This window comes from Homo sapiens, chromosome 12 (genome assembly GCF_000001405.40).
Source record: "Homo sapiens chromosome 12, GRCh38.p14 Primary Assembly".
Classification (NCBI taxonomy): Eukaryota; Metazoa; Chordata; class Mammalia; order Primates; family Hominidae; genus Homo; species Homo sapiens.
In genome coordinates, this window is record NC_000012.12 from 63,002,807 (window position 1) to 63,026,809 (window position 24,003).

Sequence of the window (24,003 nt, forward strand, 5' to 3'; positions counted from 1 at the left end):
GATATCCTCATTTTAATTGAAGGCTACATCACCAACTTTCTACCCGAGAAGTCGTTTTTCTTCGGGACCCACAATCAAAGGCTTTCCTCCGGCATGAGAAAGGAGTAACATTCCCGCCTGGTGAGTTTTTAGTGCTGGAGTGACTCCCAGCCGGCCCCTACCCCGCTCAAGCTCCTGCTGACTGTCCCAGTGTGGGTCCTGGCCAAGACTGGCACCAAGGCAGTGGGATCCTTTATAAGTAGGCCTCCAGCGCCATACACCAGAAAGCAGGAGCCCACTTCTGGGACACTGGGAGAGGGTGCAGGCAGCCACCAGTACGCAAAGCACAGTGCCCTATCCTTCCCGGCAGGGTCACAGTTCAGAAGATGTAACCTGATTTTCATCTGTAGTTAATAGAAGCATTTTGCCTTGACATTCATACTAAAAATAGAAAACACTAGTAATTCCAGGGATCTGGGTTAGTCTCTTAAGCATGTCAACTATTGATGAGAATACTCTTTGTAAAACTAACTCCAGAAATCACTTGCTAGAGAAGCAGCCCTTCATTGCCTTAGTCTGAGCACCCACGGAAAGCACGTGTTGGAGGCGCTGGCAAGGGCCGCGCAGCCGCAGTAGAGGGCCAGGGGGCGGGTGGTGCGCACCCGCCACAGAGGGCTGAAGGTGCTGCCCACGGCTTTCTTGGCGTCTCGACGTTTTGGTCAGCGGCTTTTTTCCATTCTTTCCCTCCACTTCTTGAGTGAGCAGCCATGAGTTGGACTGTACCTGTTGTGTGGGCCAGCCAGAGAGTGAGCTCGGCAGGAGCGAATTTTCTGTGCCTGGGGATGGCCCTGTGTCCCCGTCAGGCAGCGTGCATGCCACTCATGGGCACCTGGCTCTTCACCTCCGTGAGCAAGATGGCGACTGTGAAGAGTGAGCTTATTGAGTGCTTCACTTCCGAGGAGCCCTTTCATCACAGAAAGGTCTCCATCACAGGAACTGGATCAGTGGGCATGGCCTGCGCTACCAGCATCTTATTAAAAGGCTTGAGTGATGAACTTGCCTTTGTGGATCTTGATGAAGGCAAACTGAAAGGTGAGACAATGGATCTTCAACATGACAGCCCTTTCATGAAAATGTCAAATATTGTTTGTAGCAAAGATTACCTTGTCACAGCAAACCCCCATCTAGTGATTATCACAGCAGGTGCACGCCGAGAAAAGGGAGAAATGCGCTTTAATTTAGTCCGGCAAAATGTGGCCATCTTCAAGTTAATGATTTCCAGTATTGTCCAGCAGAGCCCCCTCTGCAAACTAATTATTGTTTCCAATCCAGTAGATATCTTAACTTACGTAGCCTGGAAGTTGAGTGCATTTCCCAAAAACCGTGTTATTGGAAGCGGCTGTAATCTGGATACTGTTCGTTTTCAATTCTTCATTGGACAAAAGCTTGGTATCCACTCTGAAAGCTGCCGTGGATGGATCCTCGGAGAGCATGGAGACTCAAGTGTTCCTGTGTGGAGTGGAATGAACATAGCTGGTGTCCTTTTGAAGGATCTGAACTCTGATATAGGAACTGATAAAGATCCTGAGAAATGGAAAAATGTCCACAAAGAAGTGATTGCTAGTGCCTATGAGATTATTGAAATGAAAAGTTCTACTTCGTGGGCCATTGGCCTATCTGGAGCTGATTTAACAGAAAGTATTTTGAAGAATCTTAGGAGAAAACATCCAGTTTCCACCATAATTAAGGGCCTCTACGGAATAAATGAAGAAGTCTTCCTCAGTATTCCTTCTTTGGAGAGAAGGGTATTACCAACCTTATAAAGAGAAAGCTGACCCCTGAAGAGGAGGCCCATCTGAAAAAGAGTGCAAAAACACTTTGGGAAATTCAGAAGGAGCTTGAGACTTAAAGTTGTCTAAAACTACCATTCCGAAATTATTGAAGAGATCATAGATACAGGATTATATATCAAAATTTTCAATAAACTTGAATTCCTGAAAGATGGAAACAGGAAAGTGGGTAGAGTGACTTTCCTTTTTATTTAGTCTTCCAGCTCTTTTATTTAGCATCCAGGTGCTGGATGATACTTATTTACAATTCCTAAAGAAAGTGTTTTTGGTAATGCTGATATAGCAGTACTTACCTTGTTATATATATGTAGTTGGCATTTGGTTCCTAAAAAGTAGGATGTAGGTATTTACTGTGTTTGAGAAATTCTGATTCTTTTCACTAGATATATGCTATTTATTCTTGCTGGCTTATACCTATGTTCATTTATATGCTGTAAAAAAGTGGTAATTTACAATGTAAAAATAAAAGTATGCATATACAAAAAAAAGAAGACATTTATGCGGCCAACAAACATGAAAAAAGCTCATTATCACTGGTCATTACAGAAATGCAAATCAAAACCACAATGAGATACCATCTCATGCCAGTTAGAATGGCAATCACTAAAAAGTCAGGAAACAACAGATGCTGGAGAGAATGTGGAGAAATAGGAACATATTTACACTACTGGTGGGAGTGTAAATTAGTTCAACCACTGTGGAAGACAGTGCGGTGATTCCTCAAGGATCTAGAACCAGAAATATCATTTGACCCAGCAATCCCATTACTGGGTATATACCCAATGGATTATAAATCATTGTACTATAAAGACACATGCTTTCTCTTTTTTCTAACTTGCTCTTCAGACTTAATGCTCAGTATTACCTTCCTCACTATGAGTTTGTCTCCCCTAGAAGATAGTCTATGTATTCCATTTGGCTGTGGATCTGATTCTGCTTGGGGCATGTATTTCTCTTGAATACTTGAATACCATGGGACCCACCCATGTTTTCTGGGACTCAGGCATAAGGCAATCACCTCAATTTTCTATGTCCATGTAATGACTCTTGTGCTGGTGTTATCTAACATGTTAACTAGATTGTAGTTGTAGTTCTCTGCATGTAAGGATCAATGCTTTTTTTTCTGCTGATTCCCCAACAACCTTATATAATGTTGAGTTCCTATAAGATGCTTAGAAACTAGTTGTTAATTTGTACATTCCCACTTTTTGGATCTTTACCAAGCTTATCTTTTGTTGGAGGATTTTGTAAAAACAAAAAGGGGAAGAGTAGACACTGCTGAAGGAAAGAACTTAAAAGTCAGGAACTGCCTTGGTTTCCCCTTTTATTTTCTTCCTCTTGCTTTTGTTATCTCCTCTTTCTAATATAGCAATATGAGTGTATGGCTACCACATATATTTGTTTAAATTTAACTTAAAATATCCATTCTAGATAATCTGCCTTTAGCCCTTTTCTATCAGGGTACTATATTTTATCATTAATTAATTCCTTATAATTAACTTCATTTATTTCTTATTAATCTCATAATGGACAAGGAGTACCAGTGCCTGGTTGAATAAAGAGGGGAATCACTTTGTTGTCAGAACAGAAACTCATTCAAACCAGCTCAGGTCAGAAACAAAAAGTGGGGAATGTATTGAATGTCTGATGGTATCTCTAATAACTGTAGAGTAATAATTATAGAGATCTGTCATTTGGTACTGGATCCAGGACCCAGAAAATTTGAATCCAAGGTTATTTGCTTTGTTTTTTTCAGAAGAGTTGATCTCTTGGCTCTGCTCCTATTGGTACATCAACTTTATTTTTCCTGGGTCTTACTGTAGATTATCTTACTGTGCTCCGGCCCGCACATGTTGGTCCCAGCCTCTGCGTTTCCAGATCTCCTAACTCAAACACTCATCAGAAATTAAGTGCAGTCTAGTTTCTGTGTTCCAATTCTAAATTCCAAGAAGAGATTCTGATTGTCCAGCTTTGCTAAGATACAGACCCCCCATCCTGTCAGCAGGGGTTAGGGTGTAGAAGAGTCATGTCCTACAAACATGGGTACAAATATGGGCATCAGCACGGGGGAGGTGCTTACCCCTGAAAGTCCCTAAGTGTTGGCGTGAACAGTTTCGCAATATATACTGGCTGATTTTACTATGGCAGGCTCACAAAGTTTATACAGAATAGACCTTTCCAATCTCCTTGATTTCTTTGTTTTGAAATGTGGCTGATGTCTGAATACAGTATCCAACAAAATAATTAAAGTGCTGTTTGGAGATTTAGCTTGAAGGGCAATCACTTTTTAACTGAATACGTTTCTTAGATCTTGATTTAACTGTCTTTTTTTGGGGTGAAAATTTGTTTGATCTTGTCTTATCATTAGAAAAGATACAGCATGGGAATTCTATGCATTCCTGTAAAGTTCAAACACATTTCCTTTTGTTGACAGGTAGTAATTTGTATGAGGCAGGCAAAGGAAGAATGGCTTCAAACAAATGATTCAAGTTCAGAAATATGCAAATAAATGGATTTTCTAATTGTTTTTTCTTTTTTTCTTTTTTTAAACTTTTACCTTAAGTCTGTTCATTAGTTGTGATTGCTTTGTAACAAGAATCTGGAGGGCATCTAAGGACATCATCACTGATCTGGGGAAACAGGACCTGCTTTGGGGAATTGATCTTACAAGATCAAGGCAGCACTGTCCAACATAAATGTAATGTGAGCCACATATGAAACTTGAAATTTTCTGGTAGCCACGTTAAAAAGTTGGTAAAATAAATCAATAAATTAATTTTAATAATTTTACTGAAACTGATATATTCAAAATATTATTTCAGCATGTGATCAATATAAAAATTATTAATATTTCACACTCTTTTTATATTAAGTCTTTGAAATCTGGTGTGTATTGTACACTTAGAGCACAACTCAATTCAGATGTTAATTTTTCAGTGATTAAAGCGAAATGCAGACCTACCAAAACACGACATTTGTGTTTAATAGAAAAATATTTTACACTGCTTCAGTTTTTTTATTTTAATGCGTTTACATAAAATAAATTCAATTTGTCAATCTGCAGTAACTTCATTGCAAATGATCAGTAGCATTTAGTGATTTCCTATTAAATAATCTCATAGCGGACAGTGGCTTGTGGCCATTGTATTGGATAGCACAGTTTTAGAGAATGGGATTCACGAGATTTGAGACCAGAGTTTATCTTTCACCAGTGAAGCTTAACCTAAGAGGGAATTTTGTTATGAATTGGCGTCCACTGTGTCGCTGCTCAAGTGGGCAGGGTCACCACTTTGCAGCCCTGAAACTTGTCTGTCTCTTGCTCCGGGGCAGACTTTCTTGCAGTCTTGTTCTGCTGGCAATAGTCTTAATGCCTTAATGCTTTAATGACATTACATGAGCTTGGCACAAGTTGCAAACTTGGAGATTATTGTGTTAAAAACTGAAAACTACTGTAGCTAAAGGACTTGCTTTATTTCGATTAACCCTGTGTTTTCTAAGCTTAGTTGACCACAAGTCTCTTTTAAAAGAATAACATTAAGTTACTGCAGGAGACCAAAAATATGTCAAAAATATGCATGAAGACTCTGTAGGAGACCAAAATATGCCACCCCAAAATATTTGTTTGGCATGAAGCTTATTTTGAGCGGATTAATTTGAGAGACTGCAGACACAGGGGAAGCTCCGAAAACAGAGTAGAAGTTGTCCTTTCATAAGGGAAATTTATATTTGTAAAGGAAATCTCTATTAGTAAGGATGTCACTCTATCTCTACCAAGAAAAGGAAGACTGAATTGCTGGAGACTCATCAATGAAGAAGGCACTGACTTAAATCTGCATAACTACCCTTAACCTTTGATATGGTTTGGCTGTGACCCCACCCAAATCTCATCTTGAATTGTAGCTCCCGCAATTCCCATGTGTCATGGGAGGGACCCCATGGGAGACAATTGCATCATGGGGGCAGATCTTTCCCATGCAGTTCTCACGGTAGTGAATAAGTCTCACGAGATCTGATAGTTTTATAAATGGGAGTTCCCCTGCACAAGTTCTCTTGCCCACTGCTATGTAAGAAGTCCCTTTGTTCTTCCTTCATCTTCTGCCGTGATTGTGAGGTCTCTCCAGCCATGTGGAACTGTGAGTCCCTTAAACCTCTTTCCTTTATAAATTACCTAGTCTCGGGTATGTCTTTATTAGCAGCATAAGAACAGATTAATACACCCTTGTTTACTTTGCTTTTCTGGGCATCTCTCCATAACTACCCTTTTCCCACACCGTCCTTTCTTTGTTTCAGCAGATGACGGTACTTAAGCCTGAACTCAAAACCATGCCTTTGAGATTTACTTATTTCTTTGGGTTATCTCCCAGGTATATATGAGGTATACATGTTATTAAACTTCTGTTTATTTTTCTAATTAATCTGTCTTTTGTTACAGGGATCCATCCCAACTAACAACTATGAAGGGTAGAGATAAAATTACTTTTCCTCCCCTACATTACATACTACTGAGGTGTTCTGAAACACACACTATCAGAAATACTGCCTGGTTGGCTAGAGAGTGCTTGATTCTGAGACCTGCTCTTTTGACCATGCTTGACTTCAACATGTCCTTGAATGTACCATTCTGTACTTATCTGTAGAGGACATCTGTTATTTTTGCCTGAACATATCTGTTCCCTGTTTTCTGGTATCAGAATCCTCCTTTCCATGGGGAATTCATTCTACATGGGTTGGATGTGACATTTGTCACCTCTTCCTAGCTACAGAGTTGGGTCCATGGTGTGGAGATTGTTATTATGCATACTCCCTTTTTTTACCTGGGCACATAGCTAGACTATATTTTCCCAATTCCCTTGCATTTAGCATTGGCCATGTGACTAAGGTTGGACCAATGGACAGTGAGCAAAATTAATGTATACAAATTCTAGGCTGAGGCCTGAAGACAACAGAAATGGTTCGTTGGTGCTCTATTTTCTTTCCCAGAAGCTGGAGCATGAATTTGCTTTCCTCCAGGTTCAACCACACAGACACTAGGGGCTGATAGGAAAACAAAGTAGAAGAAATCTAGATTTCCGAATGACTCCATGGAGCAGAGCCCTTACTATTATGGAATATAACCTCAGGTTATAATATGTGAGAGAAGTATGCCTCTATTTTCTTGAAGCCATTGAATTACTATTTTTAAAAGTTTCTTTGCTATGGAAGCATAGCCTTATTCTGGAAAATATAGTACATGCACTGTTATAATCCCACTTCTGCTGGCCATGATGAATGTTCCAGGAACTGGACCTAACCCAGATCAAAGTCATTCTTTGTATGTTTATGCCAAAGCTAGCTGAATTCTTCCTTTTTGTAGTTAACTTGTGGAATGTATATTCACACTATCTTTTTCTTTTTCTTTTTTTAACCACTGGGAGATGGCTGGCTTGAGAATGAAGCCACTTCTCTTAGAGAAACAGTTTCAGGAAATGGTGAGAAACAGGACCTCCAGATCCAGCTGTGCTTCAAATGGGACTCATCATTGGACTTGATAATTGAATGAAATAGTTACCAGTTTTGCTTAACTTAACCTTAATTGGATTAATGTTACTTGCCATAAGTCTGGAAAAATACCCTACATGTTTCCTTCTTATTCTAACACTGTCCTTTGCCATTAGGCCACTTGCTGGTGCCATGCTCTTTCTTGGTTGCCGGAGCAAATTAAGGCAGAGTTTGCTCATCCTGCACTGAAGATTCAGGAGACCCAGTTGCTCTTTGGGTAAAGGAGGAGGTGAAATAAACGTAGGACATGCTATCATGAGAGCTCTGCCCATACTAGAGGAAGAGCCAGAAACTATCTACCTCATTGGCTTAGAGAATTAAGCTTCTTTTCAGCCTTCTTCATTTCTCTTCCTCTCTGTAGATATAGGAGGAATGCTAAGATAGACAAGGGAGCTTCCTGGACCAAAGGAGAAATCACTACTTCCTAGATGAACAAGGTCCCATTTAGAGTAGAAATGACTTTATTAGTCGAGGAAGCACAATTACCATGAGTATATGGAATAAAAGACCTTACACAATTGTGGGAAGAGCTGGGGAAGCAAGGGTCCAGAAGGAGTTGGAGATCAGAATTAAAGGAATAATCAATCTTCCTGAAACCCTGGTGCAGGTGGACAAGACAGGATGTACAGAGCAGTCAAGGACATCCTGTTCCTGAAGTGGGAACACAAAGGGAAAGTTCATGGGGAAGTCTATGGGAAGGTGTTGATTTTATGTAGCTACCTCCTCATTGGGTCTGTAGCTGGGCTTCTGGTGGTGGGCATGGGGCCTCTGGTAAGCAGTAGTGCCAGCGGTCATGAAGAAGAGTTGGACAGGGAGCAGAGGAGAATGTGAGCAGACTGGATCGTCTGATGCAGATGGGCACCTCTGCATCAGTCTGTCATGCTATGTGACTGCAAAGACCTTTGGAAAATAATAGCTGCTACTTTATTTCTGTCTCCCAAATCCTAAGTTCTTTTAGTCAATGGTAACCTGGAAGCATATAGAGCAGGAAATTTGGAAAATGTAGTTTGTAGCTTGATCAAATTGGCTTTAGAAAAACCCAGCACAAGGTCCATCCCTGGGTGGTGATACCAAGGCAAATCATGAGTGATCTGTCAACATGGTGCAGTTGGCACAACTCACTCTTGGAAAGTGATTCAGGCTGCTACGTCAGGTCAGTGCTTTCTCTGTAGCATCTGACTCTTTCGTTCTTTATATAGATCATGTTTAAACTGTTCCCACCACAGAGGGGTTCCTGACCCTGCCCATCACCCTGTTTCTTCCCTGCCATTGGATTGTCAAGGCTTCACATCTGGTTGCTTCCTGTTATTCCTACCAAATTGTTCAGTGGTGATACTTGCCCAAGCCCTAACATACTCCCGTTGCTTGTAATTATTCAATGTGAACCTAGGCAGGCTTGGAAGGCCCAAGACTCTTGCCAGGCTGGGTTCCTGGCTCAGCCCCATCCGCTTCCACAGCCACCTCTGGTTCAATTGCCTTAACTTCTGGGGAGGCCAGTCTTGGTCTTCCTTTGGTGACATCGAAACCCCAAAACTATTATTGTGATTTTTTGTAGTCAGCAGACTTCTTCTCACTTGACTAAAGGTTTTTCTGTGTTTTAATATGAACCAAATGGATTGATTTGGGGAAATATTTGGATCTGAGGAAAGCATATGGATTTAGTGCCAACAGACTTGCTTTCATAAGCATATTGTGTTAGATAAACAAAAACAAATAAAAAACAAATGAGCAAAATGCTTGCAACAATACTGGGGGGGGGGGGCGGTGTCTGGCCCTAGACACACCTGTAGGGTAACTGCACCTGATAACAATAATTTAAGCATACCCTTAGAATTACTCTCTATGGCAGATGCACCTGAAAGTGTTTTCTAAGCTAGATAATCTGGTAGTGGCCAACCCAGAGATTCATCCCTTATCTATGATAAACATCTGAGCCCCATCCCATCCCATGGAACATGGGCCATACAGGAGATTGAAGCCCTGAGTTTTCAGTTAAATGAAGAATGCCAGGTGGAGGTCGTTGGGGGGGGTGTTAAGTGAAAATGCTATAAACTGCATGATGTTTACAGGCAGTTGCAGTTTTCCTGACCAGCCTGTTGCCACTGGACCCTCTCCCCTATATGTTAGCATCTGATAAAGCCGCATGTCTCGTTTACTAGCTCTGGGTCTCTTCTTTGGCCTCTTGAGCCTGGTGGCTTCCCTATTGAGGTTAGGGGTTTGATACAATATCACCCTTCAGGTTAGGATATGAATGAGAATTCAGAGGTGGGATTAGCTTTCTGACAGCAGAGGTCCAGCTGGGAAGGCAAGGAGTGACATACTGCTAGTCTGCCTAGAAGTTTGTACCTTCCCCACACACAGTTTACTCAACCTAGATAATGACTGGATTTGAATCATAATCTAGCCTTTATTTGCATTGTCATTTTGGACACCTCATTTAATCTGAATCTCAGTTTCTTCACTTATTTAAAAAATGGAATGAAGATTTCCTGCCTTACAATGTTGTTGTAAGCATTAGATATTAGAACTAAAGCTTCTAAAGTGCAGGACACAGTAGTTTGTGATGAATAAATGGAAACTCTTACTGCACTATTAAATTCTAGACCCTAGCCCCTAGCATGGTCATTACTGAAGCTTTGTTACTAAGTTTAAGCAAACTTCCAAAGAGCTACAGCAAGAGGAGTCTGTCAACTACAAGTCCTGGCAGTTCTCTTGATTATACAAGCTTGTTCTTATTGAATGTTCAGGGTCTAGATAGGAAGAAATTGCCCTAGTGGAACAAACCTAGGAGAGATTTAAAGCTCCATTTTGACATGAACTCTTGTAACCTCACCTAAGCGAATAAACCAAAATTTAAGGACTGAAGGTGGTTGAATCTGGGGCCTGGGGTCTTCTCATCAACAGATAGCAACCAAAATCATAGTGTTTCTCTCTACATTTAGAATGCCTGAACAGATTAACCCCTAATGACTTAATGACACTCCAGTACCAGCCCTGGATGGTTAGCTTTTGAATTTCTTACCAGTAATTTGCTTAAGCCAGTTTTCTGAACCTCTATTAATAGCGGCTGAACACAAATGCCACCTGCAAGATGCGGGGATCCTATTCTTAATTCTCCTGTAGAAGCTTTCTGGAGCCGAATTCTCCCATGTGTTAGAAATGTCTTTGCAATTTAGGCAACATTTGGATCCTGGAGGCTCAGAAGGAACCAGATGCTTGTAGTTGTCTGTCCATACCTATGTGAAACTTTGAGCATCTCTACTCTGTGTGCAAATGCGAGGGTGAGCTGACACTGCCTTTAGAATAAAAAAACCAGTGCCACCGACAAAAGCAGACTTCTTACCATGGCCTGGAGAAGCTCAGTCAGCATTTTTGGGCATTGTCTAACTCAGAACCATGTGCCTACAGACATTTGACAATTTCTATAAAAGGGTGATGGCAGCATAGCTTTTATTAATGTCTTTTATTACCTCTTGGTCTCATTGTCATTGAATTTTAAACTGTTAACCTTTGTGATTCATATTTAATGAATATTACTATGAACTTGGTGGTCTCACATACTTCTTTTGTGTTTTTTGTAACAATCCTGGGGGGTAGGTCATAATTATTGTAATAGCCAACACACACACATGCACACATAATATTTACTATGTGCCAGGCATAGTTCTAAGCATTTTATTAATTCATATACTCCATATAACACCCCTATGAGGTAGTTCTTAATAATATCATCATTGTCATCCACACTTTTTAGGCAAGGAAATTAAAGTATGGAGGTAAGTAGCTTGTCTAAGATCACAAGCCAGTAAGTGGTAGTACTTGAGTTCAGACCCAGGCAGTCTGGCTCCAGGGTTCATAGTCTAATTATTATACATACTGCCTGCAAGTTTTAGATGAAAAGCCAAGACACAGAGAGTGAGTGAATCATCCAAGTTTCCACTGCTGTTAATAAGAAGAACCATTATTTCAACTCAGGTTTTTGGATTCTTAAGGCTCATATCCTTTCTCACTATTCCATATTTTTTCCATTGGCTACAGGGTATGACCTTGGACAAGTCACTTGATTTGCTTCATTTTTCACCTATAAAATGGAGGGTAATAATGCTTACTTCACTTAGTTGTTCTATGGATTAAATATAATTGGATAAAGCCATGTTTAACTCAGTCCCTGGCACATCATAAATGCTCGGTAAATATTGACTTATTAACAGATAGATTCCCTAGAAAGGCTCTTTATTCTCAGTACTTGATAAGACTAGACTTACTATGAACATGTTATCCTTGGTAAGTAGAATATACATAAAGCAAAGTTGATGGTTTTACATCATTTCTTCCCTAAACCTCAATAACTGTGTTTATATTTGATCAGCTCTAGAACCAAGTGTTGTGTCCATGGAAATGCTTCTTGTTGGGGCAAAGAAGTTATTGTGTAGATCCTTAAAAACCCATTCTAGTTAAGTTTCTTTTTAAAAATTTTAGATATTCATGATCCGTGTCTAATTGCTGTCTTAAAATAGCATGCTTTTATTTCCATATCAAAATTTTAAGGTGAGTTAATGCGAGAACATTGTTTTCTCATTCTAAAATAAGGTCTGATGACCTGATTTGATCTGTTTTCCTATTGTTTGTTGATGCTTTTATTGACAGAATTAATGAAAATTACAAGGTTAAGTCATAAGGTTCTTTCTTTTTTCCTCTGAATAAAATTGTGATGACTTTTATTGTCAGACTTTTTAAAGATATGATGGATCATGGTGTAAATATGCCCTAGATAATAGTACTCTGGAAAGTAAAAGGTCTAGATGGTGAAAGGTAAGAGCCAAGATTATTATGTACTCAACGTGGATAAGATATTTTTGTAATGTAGTTAATTGGAAATGAATCAATAGAGTAAGAATGTTAGTGTTTTTTGGAGCATGGTGTCCATTACAATGTGTATCTGGGATTACATGCAATATCTTTTGCATATCTAGGCCCATTTCTGTTCACTCCCACTACCATTTTCACATCCCAACTCTTACCCGTGCTAGGACATTAACATGTCAAACCTCATCATTTAGATAACATTAGGCTCCCACTCAAATATATTAATTGATTATCCATTGCCTTCAAGATGACAACCAGGCTACTTAGTCTGACATCAAGGTGTGCCGTCTTTGTGAGCATTTTGCAAGATAATATAAATTGAGATCATGAAGATCTCCATGATAGAGATCATGGTTCTTGCCCTCAAAACAGAGTTTACCTTTGGAGGGGGAGACAGATAAGCAAAACATCATTCACAGTGCAATATGGTGAAGGTGTAATAGAAGTGAGCTGAGGATGCTGGGGAAGTTCACAGAAGGGCACCAACTTTTCCAGCTTACCTCCCACTACTTCTTTATTCAAGTCGTCTGTGCTAGACTGATTTATTTTTAATTCTCCTAAATATCATGCATATTCCCATCTCTGTAACTTAGATCATATTGGTTTTTTCATGCTTAATCTCATTTTCTGCTTATTCATTCAACCAACATGTATTGAAAGTACACTGCATGCTGGAAAATGAACTATTCACTCTGGTAAGTGAAGCCGAGAAGCACAGTCCTACCCTTATGAAGCTGACAGTGTTGCCTTCTCAGTCTCTCCTGCTGCCTCCAATCCATCTTCTCTGACTACTCAGCCTGTGATTTCTTTCTTCTTATTCTTTTTTTAAAATTCTTTCTTCTTATTCTTTTTTTTTGAGACGGGGGTCTCATTCTGAAGCTTAGGCTGGAGTACGGTGGCATAATCATGGCTCACTGCAGTCTTGACCTCCCCGGGCTCAGCTCAGGTAATCCTCCCACCTCAGCCTCCTGAGCAGCAGGAACTACAAGCACATGCCACCAAACCTGGCTGTTTTTTTTTTTTTTTCGTAGTTTTTGTAGAGATAGGGTTTTGCCATATTGCCCAGGCTGGTCTCGAACTCTTGGGCTCAACTGAGCCACCTACCTTGGCCTCCTAAAGTGCTAAGATTACAGGCATAAGCCACTGCACCCAACCAATCTCTTTCTTCTTGAGCTCCAGCAAACTTATATCTGTCACATGTAAGAACTTATAAATTATCAGAGGATCAATCAGCACTTAGTGGTTGGTTAATTTATCACGTTGATGCAAATATCATGGAAAAATAATCATTTTAGATTGTTTTAAAACTTGTGCTGTTATTCCTTTAGTTGAATAATGGTTGGTAATGCCTGAGACTCAGTCTTCTCATCTGTTAAATGAGCAGAATAAATGAGAAATTTAAGTTCTCTTCCAAGTATGCAGTTATAGTTTTTTTTCAATCCAAAACTTTGGTATGAATTTAATATACTAGGCTGGATGTGTTTACATTTTATTTCTAATGCTCATGGGTATCTAGAGGAAGAAAAGGAGTCCAAGGTGGAAAGACAAGAGGGAAGCAGTTGAAGGAGAAAAGAAAAGGAGAAGAAGCAAGAGGAAGCAACCAGGAAGAGGGCTGGGGATGTTCTGAAATATGGGCAAAGATCTTTCTTTGCAGAAAATATTCCCCATTAAGGGTTTCTTTCTTCCCACTCCCCAGTCAAATCTTGTAAACAATTTCTATTTGTTATTAGCCCTTTGTGTAAAATTCTATATTGAAAAGCAATGGCTGGACTGTGCAGTGAAAATTGTATGACTGACCTCCTAATCCTTTCAATATATTTCTTAAATAGATGAGTAAAAGAAATTTTTAAAAAAGGCCCAGACTATATCTTTATAAATATATTTTAATAAAGTTCAATGTTAAAACCTCCAAAAACAAACAATATACCCCGGATTCTCATGTATTTCTGATATCATAGTCAAAGGGTCATGAATGAACTCCATTTTTTTCCTTGGATATATTGCTTTAGACTGGGTGTACTGGGTAACTCACATTATTGTAACAATTACTTTATTGAGTACCTACTGTATGCTGGGCAAAATGTTTATAATAGACAAATGGAAGGTAGTTCCCACTGTCAAAGAGTTTACAATTATTGGGGGTACCTGTTGGTAGTGAGAAAATTTATAAGACATACATTTCTACATTTATTTTAAATTTATTCATGCTTATATCTGTATGTAGATGCATGTACCCACCTAGACATACACAGTTATTCATTTATAACATTCTAGTATGTATATACATACATATACAAGCATGGGAAAAATTTTCTTCTATATGCCTATGCAAAAAGGAAACTTTAAACATACAAGAGATTACATCTCTGAGAAAAGTTCCAAAAGTTATACATGATATTGTCTGTGATTCTACATTATTTTGGGTCATGACGCCAGCTGAAAGTCTAAGGAAAGCTGTGGAAGCTCTTCTAAGAAAATACCCAATGATGTGAAATTTTAGAAACCTCAGGCATAAGAAAAGGCAGACTTTCCTATAGAAAATTTTGAAATTTCAGGATATTGTTCCATCCAACAACTTGACGCCAACTTTTAAACATCAAAATGCCTACAAATGCCAGTTAAAGTACAAATGGAAAAACCTATATTCTGCACAGTTCAAAACTCTCTGTAGTGAATTCAAGTGAATGTAAACAGCCAGTGAATTAATCATTCACAGGCTTATTTGAATATCATATCATCATCTTTTAAAATTATTAATACATTAATCTTATTTTTCCATATAGCGAATCAGGCGAGCAGTCATGGGTAGACTCTTACAGTTATTGTTGAAAAGGTTTTTCCTTAGGGGATGGATAACATCCCTTGATGGTGTTTTGGGAAGCTGATCTGCTGGCTATTTTGCTGCCTTCTTTTCCATAAGTTTTCCTCTATGAGATCTAAGCCCTAGAAGTCAGATTGTTAGTCCTTTTGTTTTTCTAGCAGCAACTGCTTCCTTGAACTGTCATTTCAGTGCCAGCAGTGTAATTTTGATCTTTGATGTTATGCAAAACATATCAGCCTTTTAAATTGCCTGATCCAAATCTCATTTGCCATGCGTTTTCCACCCTTTGATCCGTCTCTGCATTGCTGTTTATCAATATCAAAAAGACAGCTGAAAAGTGGGCAAATTCAAAGGTACCCAGCATTGCTTTTGGCCTGGAATCTATAAAATCAAGTCTTTCACAGGTCTGGTGTGTTTTCTGTAACTGGACAGCATGCATCACAAGAGCACGACTCTCTATTTTGTTTACTGAGTCATGTAAAGGATTGAATGAAGTTTGTCTTGAAAATAATGGGTAACTTTCCCCTCTAACCATAGCACACAGCCACTTAGTCATCCACATGAGATCCTTTTCAAAATATCACTGCATCACTTTCCTTCTTAACAATGATGCCAGTTTCAATTTTACATTATATTTTGTGACTATTTAATAGCTGTCTTCCCTGTTGTATTGTAAGCACCGCAAGTCAGCAAATACATCTAGCTGACTCATCTTTCTATCCCTAGTAGCTAACACGGTACCTGGCATATAGTCGGTGATAATTAGTATGTTTTGGATGAATTTAACCTCACCCAAATATTTTGGGAGTCTCTCCTCTAGAATTGTCTTTGGAGTCAGTTTCCCAGCAATGAAGAGAAAATGGATTTCTCAATTTGCTTTGAAGATCATGAAAGCGTTGTCTCTTGACAACGCGAAGTTACCTGGCACTGCTGTGCTGATTTTGACCCAGACCCCAGAAAGGGACCTCTGGGCAGGCCGATGGCTGAGGATAAATAAGCTTTGGTGAAATGCTCATCACACAGGCTGCATTTATCTGGGGTTGCCTACCTGCTGTCATTGCTGGAAAAGCTTTAAGTGGATACAATTAGCTGAGAACTGTAAATATGCATTGCTGAAAGTTTAGGACTCAAGTTTTAAGTGAGTTAATAATAACTGAGATGGTTTAACGTGAGTGGATGATGTTAATGGTAATTATGGTGGTGGAAGGGAGCTAAATTTACAAAGAACTGTAACTGTCTCTTTTATATATTTATGTAATGTTTTAGTTTCTTTTTTACACCAGGGTTATTATTTACTTTAATGATTGCAAAAATGTATACAACAAATATTTTAAGTATCATAAGGGAAATGGTTTCCCTGTCAAGAATTACCAATTAAAAAATGTCAAGAATATAGTGTAGAATGGAATGAATTTGTAATAACATAGATACAGGTACTTAAAATGATTGAGCTGATAATATAATCACCTAGAATTACTTTCTTTTGAAAGTAATACATAAAATTATATAGTTCAGAGAGGACTCAGAGCCAGGATGCTTTCAGATGTCACTGCTTAACAGCTGTATAACTCTGTGCAAGTTACTGAAATTTATATGCCTCAGTTTCCTCATCTGTAAAACAAAGATAGTCATAGTTCTTTCCTCATAGAATGCAAAGGACATAAATGGGGCCTTACACACTGTAATGCTACATCATTTTTATTGTTGTTATTTTATATAATGACAATCTACATACACATTGTGAGAGATTTCAAAATGTTAGTGCCTTATCTATCAGAGCTTGTGGCTCAAATAAACAATTTATAGTTCAGAAAATAATGACATTTTGCCCTATATTTACAAAGTTTCTCCTTCCTCTCAATAACATTCACCCTTTATTAAGCAGCACTTAAATATATTTGTTTAATTGTGGTGTCTGCAAACACTGGGCAAACGGATGGTATAGGGGTTGGCCATATGCTCAGAGGAAAACATGATGATCTGGCGTGAAGATGATGACAGTGATGATGACAATGATGATGTTGGAGGTTATGTGCCTGCTCTACTACTTGCATACTAGCTGTGTGACCTTGGGCAGATATTCAACCTCTCTGAATCCTCTTTCTCATCTCTGAGATCAAGATATTCTATACTTCACCTAATAACTGTGGAATGATGTATGTGAAAGTGCTTTATGAACTTTTTTGGATTAGATGGAGTACTCTAGTTCCATCTCAGGAGCCATGTGCCACTCACTCACATTTCCCTATGCCCTTTCCCCCCGTTTCCTTCTCTTTTCCTGCCCTAACCCTTTCCTCCCTCTCTGTATTCTCTTTGAAGTTGTTTATTTATTTCAGCACTTAAGGTAAAGGCATGCAGTCATCCATTAGTGTAGTTTGTCCCCAGATTTCTTCCCCACTGGGCCTGTCACTAGTTTAAGGCACTGAAAGCCAGGGAGGAGAGAAACAGTTTAAAAATTCATTGAAACACAGCTTAAAGCAAGACAACCTACATGACTGTAACTGTGAAATAATCACAGGAAAGAGAGTAACTTCTTTACCTGCTTGAAGGAATAGTGTTCTCTTTAAGTGAAAGCAATATGCAAAAGCAGATCTCCTAGAGTGACACACACCTGCAATGCTGGCTTTAGTTTCAGCAGTCAGTAAACATTTATCCAACAGTAACACTGGTACCAGGCAGGAAGATCTAAAAGATGAAACTAAGTCATTTGCTTTCAGGATCCTATATTCAGGTATAAAACTTAGAGAAACAAATGCATGTTTAGTAGGAAGATATGTTATTAGCATATCAACATACACATACACCCCAGTAATTATATAAATTTATTGTGTTTGAATAACAAACCAATGGGATACTTTAGAGAGTCTTCTGAGTGCTGTAAACATTGTTTGACTTCTTAAAGTGCTGGTTTTTTTAGCATGCAGGTACATATTACAAGTAATAATTGAAGTCAAATGCAGAAAAATGTTTAAAAATAGGAAATACAAACTTTGAAAACTTAATGTAGTTTAAATCGGCACAACTGAGTCATTAGGATTGCTCAGACTGTATTCCCCAAATAGCCCCCTTCACATGTTCTTAAAAAGAAGTTATATAAAATAATGGCCTTTGCTTTTTTAAGCCTCTAGCTGCACTTACTGTTCAAACATAAAGGCCCTGCATTTTTGGAATAAGTCATCACAAATGAGACACGTATAGCTTAAGGTCACACACACACTTGCCACACACTTTCAGAATTCTAAAATCCACTAAAGACCTAGAAGCAATGTCTCATCGGATGTTTCCAACTTAAAGGGCCTGTGAGTTTCATTCCATTGTAAAGCATGAGCCATATTACATGGATCACTAGTTTTGCTTTTTAGTTTATCACATGGCTCGTATTTCTCTCTGCATCTTATGCATCAGCCTTAGCGACTGAAATGACCTGGGGCCCAAGAAAGCTCAAGATGCCACTTGTGGCTTGTCCCGTGGGTCCCGTGGTTTTGTGAGTTCCCTTTAACAGACTATCTTCCTCTTTTCAGTGAATATTTTGGAAATGTTTCATTTAGTAAAGTGAAAATCCTTGTCAGAATCAGCACAGATTAAAATCCGGGCTAAGAGGGCATAAAGAAATGCTTTCTGGTCAGGGAAACTGGCTATATAAGAGGCTGTGTTCGTGAAAAGAAGAAATGGTAGAAAACTTCCCTCAAATGGTAATGGGAAATGGGTCAAGTCCTACAGGTATTGTTTTAATTCACTGCTCCGTGAGAACCACAAACAGCTGGTTAAAGATTGAGCCCACCAACACTGTTAGAAAAGCAACTATGGTTGGATTTTCTTTCCTGCTCAGCTGGGCTATTATTATGAAAAATAAGGAGAACCATTAATGCAAAGTTTAGCTACCAAGAAACCCTCAGGAGGAGGGAGGGAGGGAAGGAGGGAAGGGGGGGGAGAGAGAGAGAGAGAGAGAGAGAGAGAGAGAGAGAGAGAGCGCGCCAGTGCCAGCGCCCTCCATGGATCAAAATATAAAGGATAGAGTAAAAACAGCTACTTCCTAAAATTTTAGCATCACCGAGCTTCTAGTGCCATGTTCTCTTTTCTCCGTGAGTGAATTGGCCAGTTATGACACGTTGCTATCATTGCCAGTGTTGCCTTTTTCTGGGCCTAGGAATCTAGTCTGGCTTCTCATGTTTTTTGCTTCTTGCCTCTTATTTTCTTTTAGTGTGTATCTGTTTTATTGCTTGTGAACATTTTCATCAGAGGAGAAAAGAAGGAGATGGAGGTAAAAGTCAAAATTTGTTAATTTTTTTCCTTGTTAGTAGCACTTACAAATGTTTGAAGGGAAGGAGGTAATAACGATAACTAAAATAAGGCTTTTTTCAATTGTATCTGAAAATTATTTGGCAAACTATTTCCCTATTAGCATGGATAACTGCAAACTAGCGTATCACTATTAAATAATACATTTAGGTTTAATATTTGAACATAGTTGTCTAAAATCTTATTGCTCTCAGCTTTCTTATAACAAAGCTATTGACATTTGTTGTGGAGCCAAGCAGTGATTGGAGGTGGGATGCCAAGCTGTGACTGCATATCAGGCAATGTTTGTTCAACACATTGGGCCAGTATTCCTTGCCATTCACTGAGAAGGGCTTCCTTACATGAAATTGGCGTGTCCTAGTCATGGTTTTGTGACATCTGAGAGTACTTATCACTTCAAGGGATTATGCAATCCTGAAAATAGTTTCCAAAAAAATTTAATTTAACCTTATTTTTGTAAATATGACCTATGTCTTATAATACTCCCCCACTTCCTATTTGACAAGGAGAGAAAGAAGGCTGTCATGATGTGAACTCAATTTTATTTTTTCTTTTACAGAAACCATTTATCGAAGACTTACCATGTACCCTGCATTATATGTACATGAGAGATACAGTAACAATCCTAGATACAATCCTAGGAGGAAGTTGGGAACCACAAATTGACAGATTGTTTTTCTGCATAATAGAAGCAAAGTAAAGGGAAATAATATTGCATTTCTTATACCTGGGCCCACACTCTCGAACTTTTACTTGCTACAAATATTTCAAGGTGACCCCTGAACGGTGCCAGTGGATAGTAAGCTAGACAATATCTGATTCCATTGGTTCCAATCAAATATAAATAAAAGTAGATATATGTCATACTTTACATACAAAGATGAGGTGGTTAATTTATCACTAAAAGTGGCTTGGAGTTAGTAGGGTTCCTGGTTCCTGGGAAAAATACCCTTTATGGCTTAAGCTCCATCAAACAGAAACCATTCTATAAAGCTACTTGCCTTACCTTTGCCATTAGATTGCTCTCCAAATTAGTTAAAACTTTTAAGCCTATTTACAAAGCTGTCTGATGCAATCCGATTATGACACAGCTTGAATTTCAGTGCCAATTATATGTTTGGGATAAAAAGATGAGATTGGCTTATAACTATATATTTTTGAAAGATAGGTGTGTGATTTGTGCCTGGGAATCCAAGACCTTAAATACCTAACTGGTCTTGATGAAAGTCAGAGAAATACTAGCTACCCCATAATAGAGGTCTTTCCAGGGCAGCCTGGAGCAGTAGAGCACAGATTCTGAAACTACGACTGCTGTTGTACCTGCTCAGACTTGCTGAAAGAAGAGCTACTCTTCCTCTGACAAAATGAGGACTGATGGGTTCTTCTCAGTTTCCTTGGAGACCCACAGGGTGCTGGAGCAACTCCTTCTCCCATTCTACCATGTGTGGGTACTGCTATTGTACTATTAGTCAGGGGGTGAGAAACCTAACCCTTTACCCCCAGCTGCTAAATTTTTTCTTCTTTCTTCCTAAGTCCGGAGAGGACAAGAGGCAGCCCCAAAGCTTGCTTTTGTTTTGCCTGTACCTTGGGGATCCACACTCTTTCTAAGGCCCGTTTTTACAGAAAGAGGGATGTGCTTCTGTTCTCACTCTAGAACTCAGATCTACACACGTAGACTTTGAATTGTTTCTCCAGTAGTGGCCATGGGCTATATCCATATTATTATTGTTTAAATGTGTCACCCGCAGTTCATGTGTTGGAAACCTAATCCCCAACTTAACAGTATTGAGAGGCAGGACACTTAAGAGGTGATTAAGTCATGAGGGCTCTGCTCTCATGAATGGATGAATGCTGTTATCTTGGGAATGGGTTAATCATCATAGGAATGGGTTCCTGATAAAATAATGAGTTTGACCCCCATCTGTCTTGCTCTCTCTCATGCTCTTTCACCATGTGAAGCCTTCCATCATGTTATGACTCAGCAAGAAGGCCCTTGCCAGATGCAGGTGCTTTGACCTTGAACTTCTCAGCCTCCAGAACTGTGAGAAATAAATTACTTTTCTTTATAAATTACTCAGTCTGTGGTATTCTATTATGGCAACACAGAATGGACTAAGACACATTCACACACACATTTATTTACTTATTTTCCATGTGAACCATAGATTGTATTTACAAGATTGTTGGCTTGGGTTGAGACTTCAATCTTTTGCCAGTGAACAAAACAAAGCTACCTGGAATATGGTTTATAAGGATGAGTACAGGATTTGGAGCCATGCCAGCATAAACTTGAGCTCACCCTCTACCATTTTCCAGATCTGTGACCCTTGATAGGTTTCTTAATTTGGATCTTGATTTCTCCATAGGTAAAATGGACATAATACTACTCATATTATGAATTTATTTAGAGTACTTAACACAGCACCTAGCATATAGCAAGTGCTTAATAAATACCAGCTCTAATAAACAAATATGCCCAGAAAGTTAGAGGTACCAAACTATAATAAACACTCCATGTCTAGGGACATGGTAAGAAAAAGAAAGACTCTAAGCTGGAGAAATACCATATTTTTTGCATTATTTCTAAATAAAATCGTACGAGGCAGCCCTGGAGAGAGGGCAGAATGGGGAACTGTGGCTGTTAGGATTAGTTGAGAGTTAGGGGTAAGCAAGTTAAGCTCTTACACAGGGCCTGTCATATAAGGCTTACTCCTTTTTTGAAAATCTGGAAGGACAGTAAGAATGTTTAAATGGATTGGGCTGGAATGTGTGTACATACATGCATGGGTGTATGTGAAGCTAAAATGAATTGTCTAATATTCTGATTGCTTTACATATTTTAATACATCCAACCTTCATTTAAAGAAGAAGAACAACAAAAAGACCTTTTCAACATTAACATCCTCAAAGAGAGGGAGCTGGGATACAAATCCATAATGGTAGGGACTTGAGCTCACATAAGCCCTGTGTTATGTGGCTTCTTGCCCCAGTGTTTTGCCTTAGTAACTTGGAAGCTTCCAAACTCTATTTGTCAGCTGGGCCCTACTTACCCAGCAAAATGAATACCAAGCTGAGAATTTGGCCTGCACTTCAGTTATGCAAATTCAGAGGACACAAATGACCCATCCATGCCATGCAACTCTACTAGGGCCCTTGGTTGCTTTTGCTCTGGAAGCCAGTGACATCATTTGCTAGACATACTGCATAACATGGGAAGACCTCAAACACAAAGCAAGTTACAGACCTATTTTCTGCCTGGGAGATGCACAGGGGCCCCTCCTCCCTCACTCATATTTTTATCAGCTGGTGGAAGCTGCATTCATTTTCTCCACAGATGAATAAAATCTATTGAATCTCAACTCCTGTGTGTTTTATATGGAAATAACTGAGGTACTCGGCTTTCTTTGAAAAGTTTCTGGTTGCGGTATCTACAATCTCTTCTCTTTCAATTACTGAATAGCCTATGTCTGACCTGTATTTTTTCTCAAAACCAAGCCCTGTTTGCCAGCTTCCATTTATGCAAAAAATGCACCAATACTCCAATTTCAGTTGGGGGAAAAAAGGTAGATGGGCACAGCTATTCATGAAACAAACATTTTTATTTCATTTTTAGCATGCACCTTGGTGCTACAGTTTAGTAACAAGAAGTCTCACTGTGAAAATAATGATCTTATGTGAAGGAAAATGTTATTAGTTGACCATGTTGCAGCTAAATTCCTGTGGTGCATTTTTCATTGAGAGAAGACTCTGAAGTCAAACCCTGGCCCGCTATGTACCAGTACATGACTTTGGGTGTGTAGGGGCAGAAAGGTATGATACCTTTTCTCACCCATCGTAAGGGTCCACGTCCACAGCTGACACTTTTATAATGAAAGACTGGTTAGCAAGAGAAAAGCATAACAGATTTATTTAATCAAAGTTTTATGTAACACAGGAGGCTTCAGAAATAAAGACCCAAAGACTCGGAGGAAAAATTATTTATTTTTATGTTTTGGTTTGATGAAGAATGGGCAGCCATGTAGAAATGTGATTGGACAAAAAGGTATGATCTAATAGATCATAGCTGAACGAGGAAACCCAGCAAGGCCTGTCTGTTCAGATTCTTCTGGGCCTCTGTATAACATTCTTCCCTCCCAGGTATGGGACAGGACCCCCATGGCATAAGGGTCTTCAAAAGAGAAGAGATAGGGGAGAGAGTGACCTTTCTAGGTTTAATGGCTTGCTTTGGGAGAGAGAGGTTCTAGTTTCTATGATACACCATGTGGAAGAGGAATTCTGCATTCTGTGACTCACATCAGGGGAGAAAAAGGGGTGGGTGATAGGAGGGCAAGAGAAACTGCTTCCGAGGTCCTTCTAATGTCCTTCAGTTCAAAGTACTCTGCACGCCAAGGTGCCATGTTTTGGGATATTGCTTGCTGAGTCCCAACAGGTGAGATTCAACTATTAAGTTCCAGTTTCCCCATTTGTAAAATGGAGTCTTAATGTAAAATGGAAGAGTGTTCTTCATGCGTAAGATTCAAGTGAGGATTTAACAAGATCCTCCATGTACATAATTTAACATGATTTCAGGCACACGTAGGTGCTTGAGAGACTTTTAATGTTATGATTAATCTTTTGAGAAAAATTACAAAAAAATTCTGGTTCTATCTC

General features: G+C 39.1%; 1 pseudogene, besides 1 other annotated feature; it reads left to right on the forward strand.

Annotated features, from left to right (window-relative positions):
- LDHAL6CP (lactate dehydrogenase A like 6C, pseudogene) lies at positions 649-2,276 on the forward strand (annotated as a pseudogene).
- Positions 22,023-22,524: an enhancer, noted in NCBI's record as "H3K4me1 hESC enhancer chr12:63418609-63419110 (GRCh37/hg19 assembly coordinates)". NCBI's record gives its function as "activates a minimal SCP1, AML or CMV promoter by ChIP-STARR-seq in naive H9 embryonic stem cells {active_cell/tissue: H9 hESC(naive)}" and the evidence as "EXISTENCE:reporter gene assay evidence [ECO:0000049][PMID:30033119]".